The sequence below is a fragment of the Homo sapiens genome, chromosome 20, assembly GCF_000001405.40.
Source record: "Homo sapiens chromosome 20, GRCh38.p14 Primary Assembly".
Classification (NCBI taxonomy): Eukaryota; Metazoa; Chordata; class Mammalia; order Primates; family Hominidae; genus Homo; species Homo sapiens.
This window is the reverse complement of record NC_000020.11, coordinates 63,591,018-63,607,801: the sequence shown is the minus strand read 5'-3', so window position 1 is coordinate 63,607,801 and position 16,784 is coordinate 63,591,018. Positions and strand designations below refer to the sequence as shown.

At 53.0% G+C, this 16,784-nt stretch overlaps 1 protein-coding gene across 6 annotated transcripts in view, besides 3 other annotated features; it reads left to right on the top strand.

The window, feature by feature from the left end:
- GMEB2 (glucocorticoid modulatory element binding protein 2) overlaps window positions 1–16,784 on the top strand; it is a 39,497-nt gene that overhangs the window by 19,300 nt on the left and 3,413 nt on the right. For 4 of the 6 annotated variants that reach the window (NM_012384.5, XM_047440106.1, XM_005260202.5 and 1 more), the window contains 7 exons: window positions 2,962–3,059; window positions 4,710–4,837; window positions 9,942–10,045; window positions 12,035–12,192; window positions 14,720–14,791; window positions 15,132–15,269; window positions 15,658–15,780. In NM_012384.5, the coding sequence (NP_036516.1) occupies window positions 2,962–3,059; window positions 4,710–4,837; window positions 9,942–10,045; window positions 12,035–12,192; window positions 14,720–14,791; window positions 15,132–15,269; window positions 15,658–15,780 (821 nt within the window). Of the gene's footprint in view, window positions 1–2,961; window positions 3,060–4,640; window positions 4,838–9,941; window positions 10,046–12,034; window positions 12,193–14,719; window positions 14,792–15,131; window positions 15,270–15,657; window positions 15,781–16,784 lie in introns of those variants that run through there. The other 2 variants (XM_006723776.3, XM_011528779.3) reach the window with 2 other exon arrangements.
- Window positions 985–1,154: an enhancer, noted in NCBI's record as "experimental_61181 CRE fragment used in MPRA reporter constructs". NCBI's record gives its function as "activates a minimal promoter by MPRAs in K562 erythroleukemia cells, with activity observed for both the introgressed and non-introgressed 20:62238086 or rs4809313 variant alleles {active_cell/tissue: K562}" and the evidence as "EXISTENCE:reporter gene assay evidence [ECO:0000049][PMID:34662402]".
- Window position 1,069: a transcriptional cis regulatory region, noted in NCBI's record as "Neanderthal adaptively introgressed variant 20:62238086 (GRCh37/hg19 assembly coordinates) or rs4809313 in the experimental_61181 CRE". NCBI's record gives its function as "modulates activity of the experimental_61181 enhancer by MPRAs in K562 erythroleukemia cells {active_cell/tissue: K562}" and the evidence as "EXISTENCE:reporter gene assay evidence [ECO:0000049][PMID:34662402]".
- Window positions 9,827–9,996: an enhancer, noted in NCBI's record as "experimental_61169 CRE fragment used in MPRA reporter constructs". NCBI's record gives its function as "activates a minimal promoter by MPRAs in K562 erythroleukemia cells, with activity observed for the non-introgressed 20:62229244 variant allele {active_cell/tissue: K562}" and the evidence as "EXISTENCE:reporter gene assay evidence [ECO:0000049][PMID:34662402]".

Here is a 16,784-nt window from a genome sequence, read left to right as displayed (position 1 = left end):
ATGTTTCTAGAAATGGATGTGGGGTCAGAGGGGCATGTTTCTAGAAATGGATGTGGGGTCAGAGGGGCATGTTTCTAGAAATGGAGGTGGGGTCACAGGGGCATGTTTCTAGAAATGGAGGTGTGGGTCAGAGGGGCATGTTTCTAGAAATGGATGTGGGGTCAGAGGGGCATGTTTCTAGAAATGGATGTGTGGGTCAGAGGGGCATGTTTCTAGAAATGGAGGTGGGGTCAGAGGGGCATGTTTCTAGAAATGGAGGTGGGGTCAGAGGGGCATGTTTCTAGAAATGGATGTGTGGGTCAGAGGGGCATGTTTCTAGAAATGGAGGTGAGGTCACAGGGGCATGTTTCTAGAAATGGAGGTGGGGTCAGGGGCATGTTTCTAGAAATGGATGTGGGGTCACAGGGGCATGTTTCTAGAAATGGAGGTGGGTCAGAGGGACATGTTTCTAGAAATGGAGGTGAGGTCAGAGGGGCATGTTTCTAGAAATGGAGGTGTGGGTCAGAGGGGCATGTTTCTAGAAATGGATGTGGGGTCAGAGGGGCATGTTTCTAGAAATGGAGGTGGGTCAGAGGGGCATGTTTCTAGAAATGGAGGTGGGTCAGAGGGGCATGTTTCTGGAAATGGAGGTGGGTCAAAGGGGCATGTTTCTAGAAATGGACTTGTGGGTCATATGTGCATGTTTCTAGAAATGGAGGTGGGTTAGAGGGGCATGTTTCTAGAAATGGAGGTGGGTCAGAGGGGCATGTTTCTAGAAATGGAGGTGGGTCAGAGGGGCATGTTTCTAGGCTGCAGGCGGAGTGCCCTCCTCATAGCTCTCACCAACGACTCCATTGGAGTCCTGCGTCCTGGGCCGGCACCACCATCCCAAGACTCTCCCGTACGCGTGGTAACGCTGGTTCCTTCCTGTGGGCTCTCTAGGGGAAAGTGGCCTCATGTACTGGTTTCTGTTTGCATTTGTCATGAGTGTCTTTCCAGGGTTTCTCCAGAGCCCCTGCTTGGGGCCTTTGCGTTTCCCTGTTGTGTTGTGACATTGGTCTGGAGTGCAATGGTGGGACCTCTTTATGTCATATCAGGAAATAAGTGGTTTGTTGTCCTTATGTTTTAAGCATTTTGCCACCAAGTTCTTTCTTTTCTTAAAAAATTGTTTGTGGTGGCTGGGCGCAGTGGCTCATGCCTGTAATCCCAGCACTTTGGTAGGCCGAGGTGGGAGGATCACGAGGTCAGGAGATCGAGACCATCCTGGTTAACACAGTGAAACCCTGTCTCTAACAAAAATACAAAAAATTAGCCAGGCATGGTGGCGGGCGCCTGTAGTCCCAGCTACTCGGGAGGCTGAGGCAGGAGAATGGTGTGAACCCGGAAGGCAGAGCTTGCAGTGGGCGGGGATTGCGCCACTGCACTCCAGCCTGAGCGACAGAGCGAGACTCCGTCTCAAAAAAAAAAAAAAAAATTGTTTGTGGTGTTTTTTTTCCTGGCATTGAAAGTTTTTATTTTTATTTTTTAAGGCAAAGTTATCTTTTTTTATTTCTTGGTTTTGTATTGTATGAGAAAACCCTTTGTCACTTTGAAACAAGTAAAAAAAACTTATTTTTTTCCTTCTAATACTTTTATGGTTTCATCTTTTACCCTTTTGTCTACAATTTAGTTTTTTATGAGGTTGGGCCATAGTGACTTTTCTTCTAAAATTTTGTATTTTCTGATAGTTTCTATAGCCATATGAAGTAATTATTGTGGAAATAAAACACTTTATTAAAGACAGAAATGGAAGCATAGAATCCTTGCTGGGGCACTCGCTGCCTCCATGAATCCTGCTGGTTTCACCTGCTGGGTTTTTTTTTTCCCCTGAGACAGAGTCTTGCTCTGTTGCCCAGGCTGGAATGCAGTGGTACAATCTCGGCTCACTGCAACCTCTGTTTCCGGGGTTCAGGCGATTCTCCTGTCTTGGCCTCCCAAGTAGCTGGGATTACAGGTGTGTACCACCACGCCTGGCTAATTTTTTTATTTTGGTTAGAGATGAGGTTTCACCATGTTGGCCAGGCTGGTCTCGAACTCCTGACCTCAAGTGATCTGCCCGCCTCAGCCTCCCAAAGTACTGGGATTACAGGCGTGAGCCACTGCACCCAGCCTCACCTGCTGGCTTTACCTGCTGGGTGCCGTTCTGGGTGCTCGCCACCATGAACCAAACAGAAAATGTGTGATCTCGAGACCAGCTTGTCCCCATCAGTGCTCAGACCTGCGCAGCCTCTGCCATTTCTTTTTTTTTTTTTTTTTTAATTTTGACGGCATCTTGCTCTGTCGCCCAGGCTGGAGTGCGGTGACACAATCCCCACTCACACCTCTCGGGTTCAAGTGATTCTGTGGTCTCAGCCTCCTGAGTAGCTGGGATTACGGGCTCGAGCCACCACACCCAGCTAATTTTTGTATTTTTAGTAAAGACGAGGTTTTACCATGTTGGCCAGGCTGATCTCAAACTTCTGACCTCAGGTGATTCACCTGCCTCGGCCTCCCAAACTGCTGGGATTATAGGCATGAGCCACCGCACCTGGCCTTTTTGTTTTTTGAGACAGAGTCTCGCTCTCTCACCCAGGCTGGAGTGCAGTGGTGTGATCTTGGCTCACTGCAATCTCTGCCTCCCAGGTTCAAGCGGTTCTCCTACCCCAACTTCTACAGGCATGTACCACCATGTCCAGGTAATTTTTGTATTTTTTTAAATAGAGATGGGGTTTCACCGTGTTGGCCAGGCTGGTCTCGAACTCCTGACCTCAAGTGACCCTCCCACCTCAGCCTCCCAAAGTGCTGGGATTACAGGCTTGAGCCACCGCACCCGGCCCCTCTGCCATTTCTGAATTCAGTTAGAAGAGTGTAACAGGTCAGCAAAGCGCTGTCAGGAAAATAGTGCCCTGCAGGTTGTGCCCTCCGGGATCCTGATTCTATTCTCTCCTCCCTTCACTTCACCAGGGGCGACCTGACGGAAGATAACATGGAGACAGAAAATGCAGCGGCAGCAGCTGCCGCGGCCTTCACAGCCTCCTCCCAGCTCAAGGAAGCCGTGTTAGGTAGGAAGCCGTCCTAGGTGGGAAGTCTGCCTTCTTGCCGCAGCAGGGACAGGACAGTCCTGCACTCAAAATGAGGAACAGCCAGAGATATACAAGGTCTTTGTTCGGGCTGATTCCCAAGCTGTGTGCCCTTAGGAGTGAGAGGCCAGGCCCCAGGTCCCCCAGGTGGAACCTGCCATGTGTCTGTAATGACAGCCCTTTCTCTGCCCATGACTAATAGGAGAGCAAAGTCACCTGGCCCCAAGTTTGCAGCTCTCTCCTCTTTTGGATTTTGTTTTCTTCTCACTGTTTCAGTACTCTTGTTTTGCCTGTGTCTGTTTATTATAACGATCAGTGAATGGTAGTAAAAGAAGGTTTTGTTTTTTGAGACAGGGTCTTGTTCTGTTGCCCAGGCTAGAGTGCAGTGGCACGATCACCGTTCACCATAGCCTTAACCTCCCAGGCTCAGATGATCCTCCTACCTCAGCCTCCTGAGTAGCTGGGACTACAGGCATGTGCCACCATACCCAGCTAATTAAAAAACTTTTTTTTTTTTTTTTTTTCAAGAAATAGGGTCCCACTGTTGCCCAGGCTGGTCTCGAACTCCTGGCCTCATGTGATCCTCCAGCCTCAGCCTCCCAAAGTGTTGGGATTACAGGTGTGAGCCACTGAGCCTGGCCAGTAAAAATTCTGTTTTTTTTTTTTTTTTTGAGACGGAGTCTCACTCTGTCGCCCAGGCTAGAGTGTGATGGCATGATCTCAGCTCACTGCAACTTCTGCCCTGCAGGTTCAAGCACTTCTCCTGCCTCAGCCTCCCAAGTAGCTGAGATTACAAGCACATGCCACCATGCCCAGCTAATTTTTGTATTTTTAGTAGAGATGGGGTTTTGCCATGTTGGGCCAGGCTGGTGTCAAACTCCTGACCTCAGGTGATCCACCCACCTGGGCCTCCCAAAGTGCTGGGATTACAGGTGTGAGCCACCTCGCCTGGCCCAGTAAAAATTCTTTTTTTTTCTTTTTTTGAGAGGGAGTCTTGCTCTGTCACCCAGGCTGGAGTGCGGTGGCGCGATCTCGACTCACTGCAACCTCCACCTCCCGGGTTCATGCCATTCTCCTGCCTCAGCCTCCTGCCTCAGCCTTCCCAGTAGCTGGGACTACAGGTGCCCGCCACCATGCCTGGCTAATTTTTGTATTTTTAGTAGAGACGGGGTTTCACCATGTTGGCCAGGATGGTCTTGATCTCTTGACTTCGTGATCCGCCTGCCTCGGCCTCCCAAAGTGCTGGGATTACAAAAATTCTTTATAACACTCTTAATATTTTTCTTTTGCCTGAGATTAAAGGCCCTAGAACCTTTAAAACCTTAGGTTTCCCTAGAATTGTTTCAATTAAAGTTTGATTTTATTTTCCTAAGTGGGTCTTCAGTTGAACCATAGTTTAATGGAATTCTGTTAATGTAACGATATTTAAATCTGTTTAGTGGGTTTAACCCTGAAACTCTAATGGCACTGATGGGCATGCCCTGCCCACCTTGGCTCTATCTCAGGCCTTCCTGGATTTTAATTTTTGGTTTCCATGTTGGTAGCTATTTTCTGCATTTTCAGGAAATGCTTTGAAGAGGTTGTAACTGATGTTCTGCTTTTACCCTTCCCTGTCAATGTGCCTGTGAGAAGTGAAGATGGCTGAAGAGGGGGAGAACCTGGAAGCTGAGATTGTGTACCCCATCACCTGTGGAGACAGCAGAGCCAACCTCATCTGGAGGAAGTTTGTGTGTCCCGGCATCAATGTGAAATGTGTTCAGGTGAGCACAGGCTGCATTCAGGGCCCAGGAGAGAGGCCTCATGGTGTCTGTGACTGCTTTGGGGGTGCAGCTGTGCTGAGTGCATCCTGAGGCAGGGTCTCCAGGGCTGGGGAGAGTGAAGGAGGTGCGGGAAGAACCTTCAGGAAGAGGAATTCGCTGTGGCCACAGTGCACTGTGGCAGGGAGGCTGGGAGGCCCTCCCGCTGTGTGGAGGAGGCTGCCCCTCCTGGACAAGGAGCTTTACCCAGCAGATCCAGTGAGAGCTGCTCCAAAAAGGCTGCCTCTTTGGTAAGGATTAGGATGAGTGGGAAAGGTCTTCTCTTTCTGACAATACTGATAGGTCAGGTGCCCAGGCTCACCTGTGGTGGAACAGCCGAAAATGCCAGTGAAGACATTTCCATAAAGCATCTTACAGATGCTGCCTCACACGGGCTAAGAAAGAGGAAGTGCTGAGGCCTGGGGACCTAATGGTGACAGAATTGAGAGGCAGATGGGGTGCCAAGCCCAGCTTTTGCCCTGAGAGCCTTGGCCTGAGCTTGGTTTTCCCAGCCTTGCAGGGCTGGAGATCAGAAGACAAAGCCCAGGGCTTCCTTGAGGTGTGCGTGCTGGGTGGTGACTGTCCCTTCCAAAGCTGGCACCTCCAAGGGTGAATCCACCACGTACTCCCATACCTCTTGTCCCTGGCAGAGGGAAGGAGACACCCCCTTGAGGATTCATAGGTGGTCTGGATGGTCTGAAAGCCTCAAGCTGAGAGTGTCGTTATCAGTGGCTCCCAGCTGGCAGTTCCCCCAGGAATCTGACAGAAACAAACAAAAAGTACTTTTTGGAAGAATTCACCTTTATCTCAGGTTTCAAGTAATTTCCACAGAACCCTGGACACACAAGAAGTAGTGCTCCTGGAGCAGAAGCCACAGAAGCCACAGGCTGCACAGAAGCCACAGGCCCCACAGAAGCCACAAGCTGCACAGAAGCCACAGGCCCCACAGAAGCCACAGGCAGCACAGAAGCCACAGGCCCCACAGAAGCCACAGGCAGCACAGAAGCCACAGGCCCCACGGAAGCCACAGGCCCCACGGAAGCCACAGGCAGCACGGAAGCCACAGGCCCCACGGAAGCCACAGGCCCCACGGAAGCCACAGGCAGCACAGAAGCCACAGGCCCCACAGAAGCCACAGGCCCCACAGAAGCCACAGGCTGCAGAGTCGGCCCTGCAGCAGCCTCGGCTGTTGGGGTTTTAAGGCTTAGAAGATAAAATCGTTATATTTAATAATTTATTTTAAGAAATAAAAGAGGCCGGGTGCCATGGCTTAACACCTGCAATCCTGACACTTTGGGAGGCCGAGGCAGGAGGATTGCTTGAGCCCAGGAGTTCAAGAGCAGCCTGGGTAACATACTGAGACCCCAGTTTCTTCTTAAAAAAAAAAAAAAGAAAAGAGAGCATGAGTAAAGCATAAGTAGATTCTGCAGAAACACGACTAGAGATAGGATTGAAGTTCAACACTTAGTGGATAGGTCTTCAGCAGATTAGCCATAGCTGAAGAGAGAAGTAGGACTTGTAAATAGAAATAAAGCAATTTATTCAGGAAGCACGAGAGTCAAACACATCTATTTGAGTTCTGGAAGGAGGAGAGAGAGTCTGAGAACTTTCATAACTGAGAAAGAGTGGTCCACAGTGCAAGGGCCCTGACTGACCCCAGCCTGGATGAAGACCCCACTGCCTGCATGTAGGGTGGCTTTTAGCATCCAAATAAATAGTGATAGTCATGGGTCATCACTCGAGTAAAATAAAATCTATGAGTCTATATACCTATCTCCATATATTTCATGTTATTTATTTATGTTAAATAAATGCATAGAGAGAAGTAAAGCATGGGAGGAATGATGGGGTCAGAGTCATGAGCGGGTGCTCAGACTAGTTTCAGAGCATCCCTGTAAACCATGCAGCCATTGCAGACGTAAGTCGTAGCTGTGGTGGGAAAGCTGGCAGGTGCCTCCTTAACCCAGCGATCCATCTTCACATCATCAGGCTCGGGACAGACCTCCCCTTTGAGCCTCCTGATGCAGTGAGCAGGTCTGTGGTGTTCTTCCAACAGTTCATAGCCTGACTCTACTCATGAGAAAACAGCAGACACTCATGGAGAGACAGCCTACGTTAATACCTGACCCACAAGCTCCAAAAACGTCAAGGTGAAGAAAAACACAGACAGGCTGAGAAGCTGCTCCGTCTTTTTTTTTTTTTTTTTTTTTTGAGATGGAGTCTTCCTCTGTTGCCCAGACTGGAGTGCAATGGCGCGATCTTGGCTCACCGCAACCTCCGCTTCCTGGGTTCAAGTGATTCTCTTGCCTCAGCCTCCTGAGTAGCTGGGACTACGGGCACCCACCACCATGCCTGGCTGATTTTTGTATTTTTAGTAGAGATGGGGTTTTGCCATGTTGGCCAGGCTGAGCCCGAACTCCTGACCTCAGGTGACCTGCCCGCCTTGGCCTCCCAAAGTGCTGGGATTACAGGCGTGAGCCACCGCGCCCGGCCTGCTGCAGTCTTAATGGGGACAAAAGCCGAAGAGCAAGGCAGCTGCATGCTCCACAGTCTTGGGCTGGATCCTGCATCAGAAAAAAATGTAGGCTGGGCATGGTGACTCACGCCTGTAATCCCAGCACTTTGGGAGGCCGAGGCGGGTGAATCACCTGAGGTCAGGAGTTCGAGACCAGCGCAGCCAACATGGTGAAACCCCATCTCTGCGACAAATACAAAAAAATTGGCCAGGCATGGTGGCATGTGCCTGTACTCCCAGCTACTCGGGAGGCTGAGGCAAGAGAATCTCTTGAACCCGGGAGGCGGAGGTTGCAGTGAGCCCAAGATTGCACCAGTGCACTCCAGCCTGGACGACAGAGTGAGACTCCATCTCAAAAAAAAAAATTTTTTTTTTGCAATAAAGGCTATCATTGGAACAATTCATGAATTTGACTATGGACAATGGATTAGAGAATAATGTATGAATGATAATTTCCTGATGCGAGTTGTTCTGTGGCTGCGTAAGAGAAGCTTGTTCTTAGGAAATATACACAAGTGTTGAGGGCCCAGGGGCCCGACGTCTCTGCTTCACTCTCAGTAGCTGCACGTGCACAGGTCTAGGCGGGGGCAAGGGGGCAGACGGGAGCAGGCAGTGAGTCCGGAACGCACGTGTGAGAGCTCCCTGGACTATCCTGGCAATTACCCTGTGAGTTTGAAATTGTATTAGAATTAGAAGTTGGAAACACGAAAGAAATGTACCATAGGTGACATCATAATGAAATTCCAGAAGGACGGGGACAGAGAAGATCCTCAGTCTAGCCAGGAGGAGAGACGGATCGCTCAGTAGCAAGAATCCCGCCGGCCGTGAGCTCCCGAAAGCAGCGCAGGAGCAGAGGTGGCAGCGCCAGAGCCTCACTGTGTGGCGAGTGACGACACCGTGAGGTCGTCTTTGAAATTATGCTGGAAGAAAGACGTTTCCAGAAAAAGACACGAGTTTGCCACCAGCAGATCATGATGGAAGGATGTTCTAAATATGCATTGCAGGCGGAGATAGGAGGCCTCCAGATGGAAGCGCTGTGCTGTGAGGAGGTGTGAAGAGTCGGGGAAACGTGGGTCACCCGACCAGTCCTGTCTATTCAGCATCGAGAGAGACGCCCTGGAGGGCCTCAGAGATGAGAGCAGGGCCACGTGGCTGTGGTCTGGAGGGTCAGGAGCGGGCCGAGTTAGCTCCGGGGGGTCAGGAGCGGCCACGTTAGCTCCGGGGGGTCAGGAGCGGGCCGCGTTAGCGCTGGAGGGTCAGGAGCGGCTGCGTTAGCTCTGGGGGGTCAGGAGTGGCCGCGTTAGCTCTGGGCTCTGGCAGCTCTGGTAAGCGTGACATGCTGAAGCTCCTGGAGCCACTCATGAGAGTACAGCATGTAGCTTCCTAGCTGGGAGAGGAAAACCTGGGGTGAGAAGAGTAACAAAGGTGAAAGCAAGAAAGGAAAGAGGCAGGCCTAGGAGGGGCAGGGAGGTGAGGCTGGCTGAGCCCAGAGCCCTAGGTAGGATCAGGCCCTTTGGGTGCAGTTGAGTTTCCTAGGTGTGAGCCACGTTGGGTAGAAGTGATGGCCGGAAGCAGCCTCAGTCACAGCCAGTGCAGCCTTCCTGCCAGGCTCCGACAGTGGCCAGAGAATCTTCTGGATTCCACCTTCTGGACTTCTATGGGATCTCCCTGATCAGCCGCATGAGGGAGAGCCAGAGACTGGCTGGGCTTAGTGTTCCCGTCTGTGGCACAGGGGTCATGAGAGGGTGGGCTCAGGGATTGGGAACATCACTTCCTTCAGCAAGCTAGACTTGGGCACGGCCCGGGGGTGGAGGCGGCCCCCGTACTCGGGCCTCCTGGGTCCAGCTGCAGAGACCTCGTGACTCCTCCATCCCCAGCCTGCTTGTTTTCTAAGTAAATGCAGTTTTATTCCAGTTTTTGGTTTCAATAATTGCTTGTGTAACAAGATTGAACAGGATATTTTACCTTCTCAGTTTCTCTGAGCTCCCACATGGGTGAAATTAGCAAGCAGGAGGGTTCCCCTGGCTTAGAAACAGATGAGTGTGTGTGTGTGTGTGTGTGTGTGTGTGTCAGAGTGAGAGCAGGTGCCGGTGTTTGCTGCACGGGGCAAGGTGGTGTCAGGAGGGACCTGAGGAAGGTGGCGTTCACAGCTCCACCCATGTGCTGGCATCTGTTGCCATCTGCGATGTAACGTATGCAATAACGTGTATTTATAAAATACATTGCACAGAAGCAGTTTGCTTAGTCTGCCTGGAGGAAGAGAAGGCCACACACCTTCTACCTGGTGTGGTCAGCCCAGCCCTGTCTAGCCCCAGGCACACAGCAGCTCTGCCCCCTCAGGGCTGGAGGAGACACCACTCCCCACTGCAGCCACCGTGCCTGTGGGTCATGTCCTTGTTTTACCTGAATGCTCTGTAGGAGGCCTGCACCGGTCAGAGCCGTGCCGTGGCGCTTTTCCTGCCTTGCGCGCCTGACTCAGGGTCGGATGGGAGATGGGGGCACCCTATGTGGTGTCCCGGCCAAGCTTGACCCACATGACTGTGTCCCCCACAGTACGACGAGCATGTAATCAGCCCAAAGGAATTTGTGCACCTGGCCGGGAAGTCCACCCTGAAGGACTGGAAGAGAGCCATCCGCATGAACGGCATCATGCTCAGGTGGGCGCTGGCGCAGGGTCAGCCTCCCTGCTGGAAGGGGCCCTGGCAGCTCTTGCTTTCTTGTGGGGTTTTGGGATTTTGAAGATGAGGCGTATTTTAGATGTGGTGAGTGCTGACAACCTCCCGGGTGGCTGCTGCACCTGCTCACACCCAAAACTGTAAACCCGTCTCCCACACTCCTGCCAACAGGGACACTATCAGATTTTTAGAATTGTTTTGTCAGTCATTTTAATTTCCACCAATTCTTTACCTGAAGGCACTTGTGACTGTTTCAGCGTTGTAAAATAAAGGGTTGGCTGGGCACATGGCTCACACCTGCAATCCCAACACTTTAGGAGGCTGAGGCAGGAGGATCACTTGACGCCAAGAGTTTGAGACCAGCCTGGGCACAATAATGAGACCTCATCTCTACTAAAAATAAAAAAAAAATTATCTGGATTTGGTGACATATGCCTGTGGTCCCAGCTGCTCGAGAGGCTAAGGTGGAAGGATCACTGGAGCCTGGAAGTCAAGGCTGCAGTGAGCTGTGATTGTGCCACTGCAATACAGCTTGGGTTACAGAGTGAGACTCTGTCTCAAAAAAAAAAAAAAACAAGAATAAAAAGGAAAAGAAAAGGGTCTGTTCCAATTATGCATTCTGAAAATAAAAAATAAAAGAAAGGTATAATCTGGTATTTGTGCATCAGATTTTGGCCTTTTATGTTACTCCTTATTTCTGTCCTTTCTTTCACTTTTTTTTTGAGAGGGAGTCTTGCTCTGTTGCCCAGGCTGGAGTGCAGTGGCATGATCTTGGCTCACTGCGAACTCTGCCTCCTGGGTTCAAGCGATTCTCTTCCTCACCCTCCCCAGTAGCTGGGTTTACAGGTGCTCGCCAGCACACCCGGCTAATTTTTGTATTTTTAGTAGAGACGGGATTTTGCCATATTGTCCAGGCTGGTCTCGAACACTTGACCTCAGGTGATTGACCTGCCTCAGCCTCCCAAAGTGCTGGGATTCCAGGCATGAGCCACCGTGCCCGGCCTTCACTTATCTGTGAATCATAAGCCTCAGTCTCAGTCTTTGTGGGCCTGGCCTCTACCTTGCTTCCCAAGGAGGGCCCCTGCTTTGTGCTGGAGTCAGAGTTTGAGACCTCACGAGTGACTAGCCCTGGGTCCTTTCCCATGGCTCAGGTCCTTTCCCTGTCCAGCTGAACTGGCCTCTGATTTTCTGGAACGTGGCTGGTGGCACAGCTGTGGGGACCACCGGCCAGGTAGGCAAGTCCTGAGCTGACCACAGAAGCATTAGCCTGTGTGTGCCTGAGGTCAGTGCTGCCCAAAGATTGAATGAGGCTGGAGCCTCTGACCCTCGTTTCATGGGTCGAGGCAGGCTCGTTGAGACACACAGGACTGAGACCCTGGACCTCCGGAGAGGCAGAAGAGAGGGCCCTGGGAGGGCGGCTCTCAGCAGTTTGGGCCGTACGAAGCCTTCCTGGTAAAGATGAGGATGAGCGGCAGCCATGGCCGTTGGTGCTGTCCTGCGCCCTCATCACTCTTCTTGGCTGTCTCTGTGCCTTTAGAAGGAGGAAGGTTCTCCTGGAAGTGATTTCCCACCTTCCTCTGCTTCAGAATGAGTCACGCATGATGCAGGTGGACTGGGCCCACCTTTGTTAGCTGTGGGTCACTCCCTTGGGGCTGGGGTAGTGGGACATCCCAGAAAGGCCCAGCCCCACAGACTCTGACGGGCACCTCCAGGACACCCACTGGCCAGCGCTTGCCCCCTTCCTGGGGACAGTGCCGTAGCGTGGGCCTGGGCCGGCTGCTTCTTCAGCAGCAGGGTCCTGCACGCCGAGCTCGCGCTAAGAGGGAAGTAGAGCCCACCCTGCCCTGTGGAGCTGCCAGCGCCTCTGCTAGGCCTGCCCCACGCAGGTGGATGGCCCAGGTCAGGGTGGGCGGGCCAGGTGCCTTCGGCTCTGGGGCCGACCTGGACGCTCCATGCCACTGTCTGTCACAGGAAGATCATGGACTCCGGGGAACTGGACTTCTACCAGCATGACAAGGTCTGCTCCAACACCTGCCGCAGCACAAAGATTGACCTCTCAGGAGCCCGTGTGTCCCTGAGCAGCCCCACGTCGGCCGAGTACATTCCCCTCACGCCCGCCGCAGCCGACGGTAGGTGCACAGGGCTGCTCGTCCTGACCCAGCCCCACCCTGGCCATGGCCACAGAGGGTGACATGCCCCTGGGTGGCCTCCTTGGCCCCAGGCGTTTGCTCACGCCAGGACTGCCGGTCTCCTGCCTGGGACCCTGAGTTGTCTGGGATCAGCCTCCTCCTGCCTCACAGAGGAGATCTGGCAGAATTGCTGCTTTCATTGACAAGGAAGATTGAAGCACTTTTCTTTTTAAGCCATTTTGGTTGTAATATAATAACTCACGTGTGGGGAAGGGTATAGCGAGTAACAGAGAGTGCCTGGGCGCCCACCCGGCCCCCTCCCTCCCACCCCCACGGCCCAGCCCCAAATCTGGACCCGCTTCCCTCCTGACCTGGCGGTTTACGGAACTGCGCGCCTGTGCTCCCGCCTTCCGTGCTGGGTGCCTTGCTGCAGGTATTCCTGCCACTTGGGTTTTTGGGTGACGCTTTAGATACTGTTCCACGTTGGTGTCTGTAGCTCTAAACTGTGGAGAGGTTGTTCCCTAGAATTCTTTCCAGCTTTATGAATAGAGAAATTTTTCTTAAAACTACAGTTAGGCTGGGTGTGGTGGCTCACACCTGTAACCCCAGCACTTTGGGAAGCCGAGGCGGGTGGATCACTTGAGGCCAGCCTGGCCAACAGGATGAAACCCTGTCTCTATTAAAAGTACAGAAGTTAGCCGGGTGTGGTGGTGCATGCCTGTAGTCCCAGCTACTCAGGAGGCTGAGGCAGGAGAATCGCTTGAACCCAGGAGGCGGAGGTTGCAGTGAGCTGAGATCGCTCCACTGCCCTCCAGCCTGGGCGACAGTGTGAGATTCCATCTCAAAACAAAAAAACTGAAGTTAAAGTGAAGTTAGGTCCTGGGCTCCCTGGTCACATCTCTGGGTGGTCTTTGGTGATGTGTTTCCAGCAATGCCACATGCATTGTCCCTAAGCTGCCACTCCGCATTGCTGGCCAGATTGTGTTCCTGTGTGCCCAGGGACGTCCTTGTTGTTGGCCCAGGTGGGACCCAGTTGAGTCCTGTCCTGTCCCGCTGGGTAGGAGAGTGAGGCCAGGGCACTAGGGAGGCCTCACCCTTCTCCTGGGCCCCCTTCCACGTCCTGCTGGGGCAGCCTGGCAGGTTCAGTGCTGAGTCCTGAGAAGCCCAGGACACTTGGGCTGCTGTGGTCAGAGGGGCTGGGTAGAGCCCAGCCTCCTGTCTGTCCTCCCCAGGGCCTCCCCAGCGGCTCCACCGCGTTAGTGTTGGCCCTGCCTGACCGCCTGCCAGGGAAGGAACTGGGCCTTCCACGCCCTGTAGTCAGTGCCTCACAGCTAGGCTGAGGCTCAGCTCTTCTGAAGATGATTTGGGTTCTTTAACCTGCAATCTCTGAGAACCATTGACTTGGCTACTGTGCAGTTAGTAAAAGATGCTGTGCCAGCCCCAACTCGGAAAAACGACTCATTCACGCCCCAAATAATTCCAGATGTGTAATATGAGTCATACTCACCACTGCCATGTCTTTGATGAATGTGGAAAAGGCCAGTATTCCCAAAACATTCAACTGCTTCCAGGTCGTTGGTGGTGGTGTTGGAGAAGGAGTCCTGCTCTGTCGCCCAGGCTGGAGTGCAGGGGCCTGATCTCGGCTCACTGCAACCTCTGCCTTCCGGGTTCTAGCGATTCTCCTGCCTCAGCCTCCCGAGTAGCTGGGATTACAGGCGCACGCCGCCACACCCGGTTGACTTTGTATTTTAGTAGAGACGGGGTTTTGCCGTGTTGCCCAGGCTGTTCTCGAACTCCTGACCTTAGGTGATCCACCCGCCTCAGTCTCCCAAAGTGCCTGGATTACAGGCGTGAGCCACCACATCCGGCCCCGGGTTTGTTTTTTAAGCCAGATCTGTGTATAAAGTCTCTATCAGCAACGCCCAAAATGGCCACATATGAACGACACGCCCAGTTGTGTTCTGCAGGCGCGAGAGAGGGACCCACAGGAAGAGCCAGGACGGTTTCTGTCTCTCAAAGCCCCACTTGTTCTGGTGTAGAAAAATGGAAACATGATAGATACTGAGATTTATGATGACTTCAATGAAGCATCACTTGAAGAGGCGAGGTGAGGGCGAGCCCCACGGGCGACAGACGCAGCCGCAGAGCTCTCGGTGGGAAAACAAGTCAAGCAGAAGGATCACCTTGTCTCGCTCCTGACGGTCCAGTCGAAAGTGCTTGTTGAGTACAATCGTAAATGGACAAGAGGAGGAAAGTGTTGAGGATTTGCTGAAATTGGGTGACGGGTTCAAGGGATTTGTTTCTGCGTTGTTTCTCCTTTGTATGTTTGACAACGTCTGTGATTAAAAATAGCCATAAAATATAAGGCAGGTACACTTTGGCTGTACTAGTGCGTATCCTGTGTTTGTCAGTTTTGTGAAGACAGATGGAAAGGTTCAGAAGGTGGTGTGAGGAGGGTGGACAGGGTATGTGGGGTGTGGGACTGTGGTCCAAACAGCACTCACCCGAGGTTCCCTTTCGGCTGCAGTGAATGGGTCTCCTGCGACCATCACCATAGAGACCTGTGAAGACCCTGGCGACTGGACCGCGGCCATTGGAGGTACGAGGTTCCTCCTTGTGGGCTTCTCACAAGCCCTGGCGGGGTGGTGGAGTCTCTGCCCACCTCGGGCCACACAGGGGCTCCAGGAGTCCAGGTGGGGCCGGCAGGGTCTTTGTGGAGAAAGGCCTGGTTCCAGCAGCATTGTCGTGGGCGCTCTGAGGCTGACCTGCTAGATTTTGGCACTGTGGATGTGTCTGGGCAGTGCAAGCCCAGCACAGTGCCAGGCGCTGCCGGCTCTGGCATGGTGTCCTCGTGGCTATGGTGATGTCCTTGTGGCTGTGGTGGCTGCCCCGTGTAGCAGCACTTTCCCTGCCCACTGAACCCACTCCTTCCCTCACAGATGACACATTTACCTTCTGGCGGGGGCTGAAGGACGCCGGCCTGCTGGACGAGGTCATCCAGGAGTTCCACCAGGAGCTGGTGGAGACCATGAGAGGCCTGCAGCAGCGGGTCCAGGACCCTCCCCTGCAGCTTCGAGGTGAGAAGCTGCATCTTCCCTCTTGCTGGCTACTCAGCCCAGGAGTCTCTGCAGGAGGTGAGGCCACTGGCCCTCCTGCCCCTAGGCCCTTCTGTGCTGCTGGGTTGGAGGCTGAATCTAGGCTTGGGACTCCTGCTGTGCTGAGGCTGAACTTGGTGGGAGGATCGCCTTGATGTATCTCAGTCTTCTCCCTCTGAACTGAGCTCCTGGCTGGCTGGGTTCCTGAGGAGCAGCCTCAGTGGTGGTGTTCTCACTCTCTAGGAAGAGCCCAGGCTCTCACCGAGCGTCCACGTGACTCTCTAGGAAGGTCCCGGGCTCTCACCGAGCGTCCGCGTGGCTCTCTAGGAAGGGCTTGGGCTCTCACTGAGTGTCCGCGTTACCCTTTAAGATGCTGTACTTCTCAACAACATCGTGCAGAACTTCGGCATGCTGGACCTGGTGAAGAAGGTGCTGGCCAGCCACAAGTGCCAGATGGACCGCTCGCGGGAGCAGTACGCCCGGGACCTGGCAGGTATGCTGAGACCACCCCCGTCCCGTCCCCTGGGCGGTAGGCTGAGGACCTGGAGCCCACGGGCTCACCCCACGGCTGTGCATCCACCTGCACTTCCTGGAGTCACCGCCACCACGGCGAGCTTCTCCGCACTGCTGTTGTGCGAGGAAAACAACCTGAAGCTTAAGTGAGGTAGTCAGACCTCTCCATTGCACTAAGCTTACATTTACCGGCATTTCTGTGATGAACCAAGTAGTTATTTAAGAGAAAATGACAGAGGCCAGGCGCGGTGGCTCACGCCTGTTATCCCAGCGCTTTGGGAGGCCGAGGCGGGCGGATCACTTCAGGCTAGGAGTTTGAGACCAGCCTGGCCAACGTGGTGAAACCCCATCTCTGCTGAAAAAAACAAAACAAAACTGGGCATGGTGGTGTGTGCCTGTAATCCCAGCTACTCGGGAGGCTGGCAGGCAATTGCTTGAGCCCAGGAGGTGGAAGTTGCAGGGAGCTGAGATCACACCACTGCACTCCAGTCTGGGTGACAGAGCGAGACCCTGTCTCAAAAAAAAACAATGACAGAGAATGGGAAGGGCTGGTCCTGACCCCGCTCAGAGCTCAAGCCCCTGATATTGGTGCGTTTCCTCCATGCTCCTCTTGGGGTCTGTGCTTACTGTGTGTTCACTGTGTGTGTGTTCAGTGTGTGTGTGTTCACTGCGTGTTCACTGTGTGTTCAATGTGTGTGTATTCAGTGTGTGTGTTCACTGTGTTCAGTGTGTGTGTATTCAGTGTGTGTGCACTGTGTGTTCACTCTTCACTTTGTGTGTTCACTGTTTGTGTTCATTGTGTGTGTGCACTCTGCATGTGTGTGTGCATGTTTATGTTTAAACACATGTGCCACATGTGCTGCTTTTCCTCCTCTCTCTCTTAATATGTCACAAGAGCAACTTTCCACGCTGGGTGTGTGAAAGCTCATGCGGGGATCTGAGACGGCATTTCCACGCTTGCACGCAGGCCCTGGGTCAGTGCAG